Source organism: Homo sapiens, chromosome 1, assembly GCF_000001405.40.
Source record: "Homo sapiens chromosome 1, GRCh38.p14 Primary Assembly".
Lineage (NCBI taxonomy): Eukaryota > Metazoa > Chordata > Mammalia > Primates > Hominidae > Homo > Homo sapiens.
In genome coordinates, this window is record NC_000001.11 from 197,714,653 (window position 1) to 197,730,636 (window position 15,984).

The 15,984-nt window shown below is 32.4% G+C and overlaps 1 protein-coding gene across 16 annotated transcripts in view; it reads right to left on the reverse strand.

Annotated features, from left to right (window-relative positions):
- The window catches only part of DENND1B (DENN domain containing 1B), a 277,403-nt gene that overhangs the window by 209,905 nt on the left and 51,514 nt on the right, over positions 1–15,984 (reverse strand). For all 16 annotated transcript variants that reach the window (NR_125340.2, XM_011509248.3, XM_047447711.1 and 13 more), the window contains one exon: positions 379–422. Coding sequence is in view for 13 of the 16 variants with exons in the window: in XM_011509248.3 (XP_011507550.1) it covers positions 379–422 (44 nt within the window). In the remaining 3 variants the exon portion in view is untranslated. The remainder of the gene's footprint in view (positions 1–378; positions 423–15,984) is intronic.

The window sequence follows — 15,984 nt, forward strand, 5'->3', positions numbered from 1 at the left end:
CGCTTACTTCTAAGTACACAGAAAGAATAAGAGTATATTTAACAAAGATTTCATATTGTCAACTTTTTATTGTTTTTAATGTTTTCAAATATATAGTCTATAGATAAATTAAACAAGTATAAAATAAGTTGAAAGTTTAAACATCTAGCTCCTATGAGTTTCAATATAAGGACTCCTTCATCACCCATCTACTTGGTAACTTTAAAAGATTCTTCCATATATTCCGCACACATGCATTTTTGTCTCACAGTTGATCAAGAGAAAATAATTTTAGCAATCCATGTTCACTAGTAGTTATACTAGCAACAGCAGCAGTAATAGTAGCAACAATCATAATACTTCAACTTTAAATTTTTTAAAAAATTATGTGGTACCAACCTGGTCTCCAAAGTCCTCTGGGAATTTCCACAATACCACAGGATCTGTAAATAATTGACATGTATAATTAAACAGCAGCAAAAGAACACATTTAAAGGAACAGTCTTGGTTAAACACTCTTAAAATTGTCAAAGCTACTTTAATTACAACATTTAAATTTTTCTTTAAACATTTATAGTTGATGACATTCACTTCTCTTCCTTTCTATAATTAAATATTTTGATTTTTTAAGAAATGTAATGACCTTCAAAATAGAAATAAATGATATTAATAACTTGGTCAGGTTATTAAAAATCATTACTGTATTTCTTTTAGCAACTCACTTTTTATTGACATACTTTAGATTTTAAGATTTTAAACTCTGAATTTTCTATTTTAACTACACTTTTAAAATACTGGTATTCCTTTGAAAAGAAAAATACAAATGTATCAAGTATGTAATAAAATATATTATAGCTCTCAGAGACTAGACCAAAATACACCTTAAATATCCATTTAAAATTCCAATTAAGATTTACAAAAACTGTAATAATATTTGCCTTATATCAGTTTTTAAATCTCATATTTGCAGTAATAGATAAGTTGGTAAGTAGATATAAAGCAGTTCATTTAAAATACAATTGATATTTGCAGGGCATTTCACAGAAATTTTTCTAGCATGTTTTATCTAGTAATTAATATATATAAATCAATATTGTTTATAAATATTCACACCAGTTTTTCATTTTCTTTGTTTCTCACAGTATTTCTCTTCTACTTAGCACACTAAAATGCTAAGATCTTAGTTTAGTAAGCACTAATAAATATTTTAGCCATATACTTATTGTTTAATTCTGTCAAAAATAAACTTCTGAATACTTCAAATGTGTTTTAAAGGGATAGTGTATAATGGATTATTTCTTCTGGGCAAAAAAAAAACAAAACTTGAAAGCCCAAGATAAGACTAATGTGTGTAACAAGTACCACCCATATGACAGGGTTTGAACTCCACGCCAAGTAAAAGGACTTGTGGATCAAAGATAACACTTCATGTACCAATCAGTGAAAACTTACAGCTTGATTCCATTATTTCCAATATTTCATACCATTTTCTAAAAAACACAACCTAAGGATACATATATATTTCAAAATTTTTAATTATAAAACTCAATAAATGTCTAGCAACATTTTTAGCATGAGCTGGCTCCTCTTGTGTTTATACTTAAGTTCCACAGAATTTTTTTCAGGTATTTTAAATTAAAAAGAAAAAAGTAAGCTTTCGACAATTAAACTTTTTATTTATTAAGGACTAAAAAGTTTCCATATAAATAATAAAAATCAATAATTTAAAACATCTTATATAAGAATAATACATTACAAATTTATGAAGGTAATATTAAATGATTATATCCTCATGTAAAACAAAATGCATACATTTCTAAAATGAATGTGGAATGCATTACACATCACCTAAAAACACTCAAACATAAATATCTTGTGGATAATTATATTCCCAATTAAAAAAAATAGACATATATTTATATGGCAGTTTTACCAAAATGGTAGCTGCTAAAATTTGAATCTCATAAAACAAAGGCATATGACAGAGTTTTCATAAAATATTAAATGAAAGTTTTTATCTTCATAAAGTAATACAATTACTAACAGCTACATAAACAAATCCTCATGCAGAAATACAGAACAGTTCTTTCTCATGAATAATGAAATTACAGGGTTTCAATGTGAATATTTAAAATCTCCCTTTTAAGTAACCTCAACTTTGTAATTACTATTTGAGAAGATGTTTGTGACAACTTTCTTACAACTATGTCTTAAATAAGTATACTTATGTTATTGAATAGCTTACAGTTTGCCCTTGCTGTTTGTAGCATTTACCTAAATATGTTTTGCTGCCTGACTTTTCCTCACTACCATTTTTTTTCTGTATACTCTGTTTTTTCGGAGAGAGAACAAATAAGTACATGAAAACTGCATCTATTGGTTTAAGCACAAAGTAGAAAATATCCCAGCTCTTTTCATTAAATGAATTTTACCCTTCAGCACGCAAAAAATTATTATAATCATGTGCATCCATATTTTGAAATGGATTAACTTAGTTACTGCCTATGTGATTAGATTTAGACCACATCTGACACATCTTTGTAGCAACTTTTCAGAAGTACTGCAAAGGAAGAAACAAAAGGGCTCTGAAAAAAATAATCCGATTCAACAACTTTATGCACAAAGACTGAATTTTCTGTTCCCTGAGGATTACTTTCCAGATACTCAATCTGATCTGGCAATGTTAGGTCAATTTTATGCTGATTTTATGGGTGAAAGGATGAGAACTGCTGGTGGGAATCATCGTTGCCAGTTATGACTGATATACACTGTGTTTCTCTTTTTTCCAATGCCTACCAGTAAATCAAAGGAGACTCCATATCGTAATTAAAGAAAAAAATTTTACTGCCAACATTCTAGAAACCAAATAAATATAAAAGGAAGAATACTTGATTTTGACATAAATATATTTAATCTCTTAGTTTAATAAGAGATAATGTTACAGCATAGTAAGAAAAAAATACAAATTTTTATTAAATCAGTAACTTTAGAAGATGAATATTTAAAGTATGATTTGCACATCATCAACATAAGGATTCCAAATTCACTATTAAGGCTTTTTTAAAATGTAAAGTAAGATAAAGTCAGCAATATTTTATTTTCCCAATCAAATATTTCACATTTCCTGGCCCTTAACTGAAAACAAAATTAAAATAACTTAGAATACCAGTGTGATTCTACTACACTACAAAAAGAGTATGCAGTAAAAGAGCTCCAATTTGCACAAAAGGATAATATTTACTTAATTCTGTGGAATTCAAAGATGATTAAATGTACAGTATCTTCAAATTTATGCATTTGTAAAATCTCAGTTCAGAGACTACATACTTTTGGAAAAGTATAATATACAATATTAGTATTTTTCTTGATTACGGGTTTCAGTGCCTAATATACCCACACTGTAGAAGAATATGTATGAAGAAATTGAGGTCAAAACAATGAGAAGTGTGATTTACTCACGTAGCTAGGTAATGTCTGAGGTTACAGCTTTCTTTATTGAGATGTGAGGAGCATATGTTTTAAATAATTTCCAATAATTCACAAATTTTTGTGGCCCATTTAACTTAAGTTCAATTTATTTCATTCAAAAATCTATGCAGTGCTAAAGAAAGAGGAAAAGTCCCTGCGTTACAATGCCCTACAACATTCACAGAGAGAAACGTCAAAGGGCAATTTCGTTTTTGTACAAAATATTCTTTTAAGTGAGGTATCCTGTAGGAACATTTGAACTCAACTTGAAAATTCACTGGCTTAAAAATGTAAAAAAAAAAAAAAAGTTCCTAATGAAGCAATGAAATGAGCAAAAATCATTAAAGAAAATGTGTAATTTTTTGGTAATGTATGATTTTTATTCTTTCACCTGTGGACACATAATGGTGAACTAAACAAAACAGGGTCTACCACTTACAGAGAAGAGGAGCATCTATATATATAATGTAATAAAACTTAATGCATTTTTATGATACTAGAAGAAGGGGTACTGCAGGAGCACATAATAAGGAAATATAATTTAGAGAGTCACTAAAGGACTTCAAAAGGAAAGGACATAAACTGACACAAGTTAGACAAGCAAAGAATAATCTGGGCCATAAAGTGGGCAGGGGAGAACATTCTAGAGTGAAGAACCAATATGCATGACATCTTGAAGGTTAAAAGAAAGCAGAATACCTTTTAGAAACTGAAAAATCATCTAACATATCTGAATGTAGACTAAGAGGGAGACAATGTCTAGAGATAAAGCTGGATTGGCAAGGGAAGCCACTGAAGCAGACAGTAGTATAAATCAAGTTAGAAAGAACAACCAGAAAGGGAGAATGCAGCTAGAGTGTGTGTTATTATGAAAGTCAAGAGAAGAGGGTGTATCTAAAAGAAATCCTCAAACAAATGCTGCAACACATTGAGAGATGATGACTGAAGAATGGCAACTATATTAAAAGACATAACACCACAGTAAGATGAGCCTCAGTGGAAGGGTAGGAAGGAGGTGGCCGATTTAAGATTATGGAATGAGTGAGTATGATGAAAGAGAGGCAGTATGTACAGAGGCAATTTACTTAAGAAAGGATACACAAAGTAGAGGAAAGTAAAGGTAGACAGAAAGCTTAAGCTAGAGATATTTGTTTTTTTCTTTTGACTGGTACAGACTTGAACATGTTTAAAAGGCTATGGGAATTCATGAGCTAGCAGAGAGCCAGCAAAGAAGGAATACAAGATCCCTGAGAAGACAGGAAGGTTGGAATTCAGATCAAGACAGTGAGAGGAGCCTAAGACAGAAGCTGAAGTACGTTTTCCATTGTTATAGGAAAAAGAGAAGAGGAAAGACATAAAGCCAAGTAAATCTGTAGTGCAAAAATATGAGTTTTGTGAAAAAAAACTGCTAATATTTTTCTATGTAGTAGGTAGTTCTCTAAAGCAAAGCTTTCTGCTAAAACACACAAAAAAGCTGTTGGAGCTTTAAGGAGGAGGTATGAAATAACCATTTCAGGCAGAGTTCTCAATATAGGTAGATATCCAACATGGCATTTAATGGCAGCAAAGTGGCATTTCTCTCAATTGGTGGATTCTGTCGGGGTGAGGTTTCTGTTAGTCAGGTGGATGGGAAGATAATCTAAAAGAGTGGCTGCAGATCTGAATTACGTATCTAAAGCTAATAAAAAGGAAGTCATATTTTCTGAAAAGTCCATTAATATTATATATTATACCAAATGATACAAATGTATTTTAAAACAGCATAGTTTCAGTTAAAGGTCTACAACATATAACTGAAGACTGTAGGATTCAGAAATAAGATGACATAAATAAATGGAAGTAGAATTATGAAATCACATAGCTGAAGTCTGGGTCTTCTACTTATGAATAACACAATGCTTTCTGTGTATGATCAGAAGTAGGTTTTGAAAAATAGCAAATCAATTTCCTTGTCTCTTTCTCCCTCAGACTCTCTAGGTTGTTCTTAAAAGAGTCTCATCTATTTATCCAAGTGTACTATATAAATACCTTTTTTGACGTGTGCTATTTTTGAAAAAGTTTGATAAGCATGTAATTTAATAATTATGGTTAAAATGATATTTTATTACATCTTCCAAAATAATTTTCAAACTCATTAATTATTGTAATTTTTTTTGAGACAGGGTCTCACTCTGTCACCCAGGGTAGAGTACAGTGGCATGAGCATGGCTCACTGCAGCCTCACTCTCCCAGCCTCAAGCAATCCCTTCCATCTCAGTCTCCCAAGTAGCTGGGACTATAGGCATGCACCACCATGCCCAACTAATTTTTTTTTTCTTTTTTGTAAAGATGAGGTCTCGCTATGTTACCCAGGCTGGTCTTGAACTCGTGGGCTCAGGTGATCGTACTGCCTCCGCCTCCCAAAGTGCTAGGATTACAGGTGCGAGCCAACATACTCAGACTTACCATAATTTTATATTCAGCCTGATTAAAAAAAACGGTTTAAGGAAACAATTCACTCAATCATTTAGGGCCACAAATGACTTTGGTGAAGCCAGAGATTCAGAAGATCGACACTTTTGCCATTTTTCCTTGGCACAGACTCCGGCAAAACACAGATTTACTGCATGATAGAAAGATATCACTCATTTTGACAAAGTAGTAATAAAAAGCTTCACTGATCCACTCAAAAAAGAATAGTATGATAGACTGTACTATAAACCTTAAGACTATAAGCAACAGTGAAAATAAAAACAAATTCATTGCTGGAAAGTCTTAAATTCAGACTACATCTAATCTTGATAAAACATATATAAGCAGATGTTTGTACAAATTATTTTGAAGTTAACCTATAGATGACAATATTTAATTTTATCATCTTCTTAAAGGTCTAATTCAGTAGTTCTCAAACTTCAACAAAAATATCTACACAAACAGACTGCTGGGTCCCACACACAAAACTTCTGAGGTGGGCCTGAGAAACGGCATTTTTTTTTTTTTTTTTTTTTTGAGACGGAGTCTCACTCCGTTGCCCAGGCTGGAGTGCAGTGGCACAATCTCTGCTCACTGCAAGCCCCACCTCCCGGGTTCATGCCATTCTCCTGCCTCAGTCTCCTGAGTAGCTGGGACTACAGGCACCCACCACCACACCCAGCTAATTTTTTTTTATTTTTAGTAGAGACAGGTTTCACCATGTTAGCCCAAATGGTCTCGATCTCCTGACCTCGTGATCCGCCTGCCTCGGCCTCCCAAAGTGCTGGGATTACAGGCTTGAGCCACCGTGCCTGGCCGAGAAACTGCATTTCTAAAAAGCTCTCAGGTGATACTGATGCTACTGGTCTCAGGACCACACTTTGAGAACTAACAGCATGGACTATGTATCTCTCACAATGATTAGCATTATGCGTCACATGTTAAGAAATTTAATATTTCCTTCAAAAGGAAAGGACATAAATTACACAAGTAAGACAAGCAAAGGATAATCTGGGCCATAAAGTGGGCAGGGGAGAACATTCTAGAGTGAAGAACCAGTATGCATGACATTTTTATATATTTATAAAAAATATAAATATTCTTTAAAATATGACAATAAATAATTTATATTTTCCTTTATTACATATAGACTTGATATGACAACAAATATATCTTCATAGGGCTAGAAACAAACATCAACTATACCACTTACAGCAGAAAATAATTTTAGCAAGAAAAATACCACCAAAATGTTTTTAAAACCCAAATACTACTGATACTATAATTCTAGTTCCATATCCCAATGAAAGAATTTTATTTCAAAATTGAATGTTTTGTGACACTGGAACCACATGATTTAAGGAACAATTATGGAGGACTATAGTTATGTGTACACAAGATATACTGCCTATTATTCCCTCTAACTTTATATGCTGTATGCTGTATACATACATATTGGTAGTCCATATCTAAACAAGATAGATGTCCTTTTGTACTTTTCCAACTCAGACATGTGAGAAAATTTTTCTTGCTGTAATGTCTTACAATGCTTTCTTTCATGAATTTAAGCAATTAGTTCCAATATGGACAACAGAAAGACTATCTGTGAATGCAAAATATAGTAATAATAATAATAAGGCCTCTTTTATTTACTTATTTGGTATTTCAAGAAAAGGTTCATTATATATGGATAGAAACTTTGTATTTTCTGAATGAGAAAGGACATTAAATATTCTTTTTTTTTAATCACCCAAAGTTACACTGTATCCTGTGTCTGGAGCTAGTAACTATTGAAGCCAAGACTAGGATTCAGGTATCCTTGCTTCTTATATAACATCCTTTCTAAAATATGCTGCTGCAATTTGCTATACTTGGTTGATCTTTGATTTTACTGTGCATTCATTAGACAGTAATTTAAAGAACATCCACAAGTCTAAAAGTTTCTTAGTTATCTATAGGAAGACATTCTCACCAAGCCAAATATTTGTATTTTGTAAAACAATGGCCTAAATCTTACAGACTTCCTTTGAACAATACTTGGAAATTTGTATGTGAAGAAACCTAGACAAGGAGATTAATTACTAATAATACTCAAATCAATACCTTCTCAATCTGAAATTAAAATAATTCTTCATTTAATCATGTAAGTTTGATTCACACAAAGACCTCACAGAAATGAAAACATTATTTCAAGATCTTTTACTTTATAATCACTTGCAAAAATAGAGATCACACTTCTATTTGTTATTTTACATAATGCATACATTTAAAATTAAAACTAAGCAATTTTGAAAATATGTCCATTTGTTCACCATTCTAAAAATGCACATAAGCAATGGTGGAAATAAAATTTAATGTAATGATCCACTGTGATTATCTTCATTCGAATAAGCCATCCTGGAAAATCAAACTAGCACTTTAAAATAATTTTGGTGTTTTTGAAACTCAAACCTTAAAAAAACAATTTGGATAATGGATAATTCTAACCTTTCTAAATATTTCTAGAAAGATGTAAAATCAGCATCACAACTTAAAACAAGGAAGCTCTCTTTTGAGCAAATATTAGCAAATTCTAACTAAGGTAATGAAAATGGAACTTCAAAGAACCTTAAGAAAATATAACTCATAGCATGTTAGATATAACATTTTGCTACATCCATTCCTTTTAAACAAGACCTATTATAATAAAATGAAAACCCTCATCAATCTCCTGATAGAGTAATTCCAAACTTAACCAAACAGGGCTAATGGGTGAGAATTGAATTGAAAACACCTTGACAAAGAAAGCAATTTCTTTTCTTCGCACTCCTCTGAAGCTGTGGGTGATCATGGTAATCGAACCATCAACAGTGAGGGGCCATCTGTCCCAAGGGCCCTTCATGAGAGTTTTAAAAAAAACATCAACAATAAAGAAGGGAAAGAAATGCTGTACCACAGATGTTCAATCTTGATTAATCTATCGCAAGGAACTTACAACTGAGAATCAAATGTTTTGACATTTTTCAGATACTAATCATTAAAAGCCAACACAAACGTTTTTATAAGAACACAGGGAAAAAAAGTTAATAGGTTGCTTGTAGAAAGATGATCTGTCATACAGAACCTAATATACCTTTGAGTCAGCTAAGATCTTAAAGTTGCTTTAAGATCATATCCTAAAGCAATAGCTTTTATTATGATTCCTTTAAGGAGGAAAGAAGGTAAGAGGCCATGCTTTAAGTTAGCATGAGACTGTTGTTTGTTATAATTCTTTATAATTTTTATAATTATAAGAATTATAAAAAAGCAAGTATATGGTTAAATAAAAGAAGACATATATTTTTATTCACAACACTCATTATACTTAACTCTTTGAAGTAAAATATTGTCAAGAAACAGTCTTAATGTGAAACTTCAGAATGTAAAATTAACTGAACTGCTCATAAAACAGCTTCATTTTATTCATGGCATTTAAAATCATGTTCATATTACACCAAAAAGTAATTTTGGGTAGATGTGCAAATGCTTCAAAGCTTTCTTGCTTGATATAAAGATGGTCTGAAGTACAGTAAACTTCTAATACTCCTGGATATAACAGACACAGTTCCAATGACTTGAGAATAAGCTAAAATTCATGAATAGAATCATACTAACTACAAAAATGACTTAAAGTTCACTAACATAAAAACATGTGTAAGCTACATTAAGAATAACTGCTAAAAATATTTTAAAATTAATTTTAAAATGAAAAATACATTAAAACAAAACATCAAAGAACCAAATTAAACCATGCATGACCTTTCTTTCAGGATATTTTCAAGTTACAATAAAAGTAAATGTAGAATAAATTTAAGATTCTAATGAATATAATAAAGTCACTAAGAAACTTACTGTAAATGCAATAACTCTTATTTATCTTTGTATCTACAAAGCCTAGGAATGGATCCTGTCACCCTAAAGAGATGGCACCTCAGGCACATGACAAAAGGAAAGTACAAATGCCCTCTTGAAGAAGAAACACTTGATCAACTCAGGTCTTGCCTAACATAAATGGGTAATTCAAAATTACTACAGAAAATCTAAACACCTGTGATTATAACCATCAGACACAAAGAATGGAATTAAGATACTAATTTTTTTTGTTCCTCCCACACAGGCTTCAGATATTAAAATTACCTGAAACAGCATATATTGTAAGGATATTTAAAATGTTATACAATAACATAACTCAAAACATGAACTAGCAAATTTTGAAAACTAGAACTTTTAAAAATATAAAAATATAATCTATGAAATTAAAAGCTCAATGAATAGAACAGCATATCTTATAAAACTGAAGACAGAAATAGTGAACTAAGTCAGACACAAATGATATTAAAACAGATTGAGCCATAAAGAGGCAAAATAAATGAGAAAAGAGGTTAAGAAAAATGGAGACCAGAATAAAATAAATCTATTTAAATTTCTAAAAGATCAGACCAAAGATACCAGACTGTGTATAATGGAAGAGGGAAGAAAATAATATTAGAAGAAATAAAGGCTGATTTTCCAAAACTGATAAAAGACACATCTTTAGATTTGGAAATGACAACAAACCTAAGCAAGATCTCAAGACAGACATGACTAGACACATCACAATGAAATTGCAAAGTATAAAAAGATATGGATACCTTTCAAAGCATCCTAGAGAGAAAAGAGGTAAGTAGAAAACTACATACATTATTACATCGACAGCAGACTTCTCAATAGCAGCAATGGAAGCCAGAAGACAGTGGAATAATATACTCTACAACTTAAGAACTGTGCAAACAGGAATGTAGGGAAAATAAATACATTTTCAGAAAGACAAAACTGAAAGATTTACCAAGAATAGACCCTTTCTAAAGGAGCAGCTAAAGAAATTGTAACAGAAAAATTCTTTTTTATAAAATGCAAGAAATTATATATTTCTTATATGCAAACATATATATAAAACAATGTTTACTGAAGCACTGTTTACAATTAGCAAAGTTTTGCAAGATAACCTATATGCCCATCAATATGAAAATGATTATACCATTATTATTCTATGAAACACTATACAACTCTGAAAAAGACTATAGCCTTGAAAAAAAAAGTTATATTTGTTCATATGAAAAAAAATCTAAAAGAGTGATAAATGAAAATAATGAGACAAGGTGAGGTCAGAGAGTTAAGGGGGAACAAGCAGAACATAAAGGGCCTTGAGAGTGATAAAAAGGAACCTGCTTACACTCTGGGAAAGGGAGCCACAGCAGCATTTGAATAGAGAGGAGACATGCTCTGACATATTTTAACAGGATCACCCTGGCTTCTGTGTTGAGTATAAACTGAAAGGTAATAAAATAATGAACCCAGTTATGATGCTACAGATAATATTTAAAATGAACCTCTTAGGAAAAGAACTTACATCATTCATATATATATGAATGACTCAGATATATATATATACATATACACACACACACACATATATATACACACATATGGATATACACACACATACACATATATATAGACAATTTGTGGTAAAATATCAGGGAAGGAAGCAGATAACATAAAATTTACAAGATGATCTACCCTCTTGAGACAGAATTCATGGCAAGGGCAATAAGGGTCCAAGAGTCCAATGGAAACTCTCCCAGTAGATTATAGTGGGTGTTTTATGAACCTGACGTGGACCCAGTGATCTTGCTGGCATGTAAATACTCTGGAAAGAAAAGAATCGTGTTTTATACAACTAAATGAGTTCTAGATCTGCAGAACTTCAACATAGATGATGAGAAGCCCTCCCTACTCACTTTGCAGAACCGCAACCCAGGCTGTGAAGGATCACATGACATTAAAACTGCAAAGACCTGTGACTAGCAACATCATTATGAATGGCAGTCCAGGAGCCAAGTGCAGCAATAATGAAATAGGATATACTTCAAACAATGGGCTAAGATGAGGGTGAATATCACTGTCAGCACCCACCAAAGTCAGAAGCATAATCCTAGGTGAAGCACTAAAACAAGGTCTAGACAAATGATTGCATCAGTGATATGGAAATAATCGCAGTGAGACATTAAGAGCAAAGGCATGAAGCATAGTAGTTGAGGTAGACAAGCAATTCCTCAGTACTTATGAGATACCCCTGGAGGGCCACAGAAATACTAAAAGAGAATGAATACCTCAAAATGGGATCGAGACCCAGAAGGTACTCAAGAGGTTATCAAGCTGGAAAAAAACTGATTCTAAATATCAATGTGATGTGATGTCATCTATACCTTCATGTTAGAGAAATCTAAGGACTTGTGGGGAACACCTTTCAAATGTTCATAGTAAAAACTAAGAAACTTGTTAACATAAAACTATAATAATAAAATGAACACAACATAGCTATTACATTTCAGTTCACAGGTCTCTGTTGATGTAGAATGAAAAGCAAATGAAAGTAGAGATGTGAATATTTTATTCTGTTTCTAATTAAATATGTTGTTTTATTGCTAAAATCTTCCCTGATCATATCCAGAATTTCCTTAAACTAATAATGGATAAATATCATTAACCTTTGAGGTCAAGATTATGACTGGTAAATACAACACTGTGATACTGGCAAAAAGAATCATTTCCTTGAAGGGGCAGAAAACTATTAGTCTGAACATGCTTACTAATAATTAAGTCCTACAGTAATTTTCACCCATTTTTCTTAAAACATAATTAGCGCCGGGCGCAGTGGCTCACACCTGTAATCCCAGCACTTTGGGAGGGCAAGGAAGGTGGACCATGAGGTCAGGAGATTGAGACCATCCTGGCTAACACAGTGAAACCCCATCTCTACTAAAAATACAAACAATGAGCCAGGCGTGGTGGCAGGCACCTGTAGTCCCAGCTACTTGGGAGGCTGAGGCAGGAAAATGGCGTGAACCCGGGAGGCGGAGCTTGCAGTGAGCCAAGATCGCGCCACTGCACTCCAGCCTGGGAGACAGAGTGAGACTCCTTCTCAAAAAAAAAAAAAGAAAAAGAAAAAGAAAACATATAATTATCAAGTTACTGGGAATTATATTAAAAATGCTATGTATTTCTAATAGAAAACAGTGATCTGATTTTGAGGCCAATTGGACTGGATTCTACTAAGCAGAATTCAAGAGCAAACACAAGTTCACAAAGATAATTTGTCATGTGACATTACACAAAATTGCCATATATCTTAGATCAGCGGTAAGAAGGATCACAAGAGACCTTGTTTCCTCTCCCTACATGGCAGGCTCCTTTATGTTCCACTAAAAAAAGACACATCCTTTTATATTCTACACATATACAGGGACTGCTCCAAATCTCCCAGCTTCCCTCCTAAAGTGTAAACTAATAGTTGAAAGTTCTTCCCAATGTCCAACTAAATATCTCAGAAGATAATTTAACTCTTTTCTCTCTTGTTGAAGAGCTGTGAAAAAAAAAAATGGATCGCCCCTACATATAATTTAAAACAAATTCAAAAACTTTTACTGAAATTCTATTTCCCATTGTTCACAAATTATTTCCTATATATCTACATAGCAGTTCTCAACCCTTTCTGTTCATTAGATTATCTAAGGAAGATCATTTAAATTTTTAAAAAGTGACCCTTCACCCCACCCAATACCATTCTAGACACATCTACAATTGTTTAAAAACTCCCCAGGTGATTCTTATGTGCTGTTCTGGTTGAAAACTACTGCCACAAATCTTTCTGTAAAGAAATTTTTCTCAAGCCTTTTAAAAACCTTCTGCCATTTTTCAAGTTTCAAATATTGTTTTAAACTGGACTAAAAACAAGAACATAATATATAATGTGATATCTAAAACTAAGTGTTTTTGTAGATATTCATAAGCATAAATGAAGCAAAAATTCTATATCTCAAATTCAATTTTCCCAATGACTTGATTACAACATCCCCTTGACTAGTGTCCAACACTGAATCATATCCCTCTCACTCTACCTATGGAACCCAGACACCAATGCTAAAAGTTTCAGAATCAGCCTTCACACGCCTTCATCCTCTACGTCTAATCAGCTGCCTAACCATGTTAGTTATTTCTTCGAAATGCAGTTGTCATCCATTCCTCCTCTTCCATATTCATCTTACTCTAAATTCTTATTGCCTAATTAGTCTTCTTGCCACTCAGCTCTTCTCAACTCACTGCCACTAAATTAATCTTAAGAGTTCTTATTATTCCTCCCTTCACAGAACAATATTCAGTGGCTCACTACTGCTTAACAAAACCCAACTCATCAAACTGTGTTAATATTTAATGCCTCATATAGAACTTTAAAATTTTAACATAACTCCATATACTAAAACCAGTGTTGCAAAATTCTGCACTTCCTACCCAATTCCATCCTACCTATCTAAATGTATTTCCCACCAACTCCAATGCAAATTTTCTACTCAATCCCAGTGTCTTTTCACATAAATAAAATTTATTCCCAATTTCAAGGATTTACTTATACTCCAACACATGCTGCACCCCCTTCTGAAATCCTATGTTCACTTTTCTCTGTCTCTCTAAAATCAATACATTATTCCTGATCTATGCTATGAGACCTTCCCAAAATACTACAACCACACAGACTATCCCACTTCCAGACAATAACCATCGCTACCAAACCATCTTATTTGTGTCTCCTCATTTAAACAAAGCTCCTAAAAGCCAGAATCATGTTTCAAATTTTAATGTACACTTCATAAAGGCAGCTTTTTCAGTTTTTTATTGAGTATATTTTCCATTCTTTCCATTCAATGGATATATATAATGCAAATAAAATTATTCCCTATCATATCAATTTTTCACAGTAAATGTCATAAACTTTATTTGCTTATTTTAATGTGCTTATTTTAACAAGTAGCTGGCTTACCCTAACATAAACCTGATCAATTCTGATTTAAAGGTAATATAATAAATCAAGTAATCCTTAACACCAAAGAGAGGGAAGTGATCTGCCCTTATTTTCACTACATATTTTCACTAAAGATAACAAGCAAATGAGCAGAGTAAAGCTATTACTAATTAAGAAAGCCCCATACTTCAAGAAAGAAATAGGCAATTAAATAGTAATCATGTAGAATAAATAGTAATTATACAAATTATCCTTGGGCATTTGCCACTGACGTGTTTTTAGTTAGCCCCCATAATGTACAGCACAGTACCTCTCAAGCTTTTTGGTCTCAGGACTGATTTATTCTCTCAAATATCACTGAGGTCGTCAAAGAACTTTTGTTTAGGTGAGTTATAGTAAATGACATTTATGTATTAAAAATCAAAACTTAAAAATTAGTAAAGCACAAAAATCTTCAAGTACACACTTCATTAGTCATCAGAGTTATAACTTCATCATGTCCTGAAGCCTATGCAAAAATCTACCATATACTTGTGAGAAATGGGAACGAAAAAGGCTAATAATGCCTCACTACTACGAAAAAAGTTCTGACCTCACAGAACTCCTGAAGTACTCCAGGGAACCGCCACAGACCCCTAGACTACACTTTGAGAGCCAGAGGTATATCACAAAGAATTTTAAAAACAGATTAAAATAATGTTTTTATGTATGGTATAAAACTTGTTTTCTAATTAAGATTTTCTTTAAAACCTGAGAAAAAGTCAAGGTATAATTATTTATACCTTATATATTACACAAATATAGTCCCTTTTTACAGGTAGAAAAGACAAAGGGGAGATTTCAAGGTTAAATGCCTTTAGGATATATAGGTAATAAAAATGAGTAGAGTGAGCCTACAAAAGACAGACTATAAAAGGACATGTAGTAAAAAATAGATCCCATTCCCCTTCCCAAAAAAGCAACCATTATTCAGCTCCATCCATGTGGAATGTGGGCCCAGTGTTGACAGATACTTTTGATTTTTCAAGAAAATCCAGAATATTTATGAAAACAAAATCACCTAATTTTTAAGTTGGGAAAAATAATTAAACATTTCATGAATACCATGTGAGCCAAATAAGGTGTGTCAGGGGGCCATTATTTTTTATCTCTGTATTATGACATGGGAACTTAAATTGGAAAAGAAAAAATTCTTTACGGTTAATCACATGTTTAAAGTAAAGGGCTAC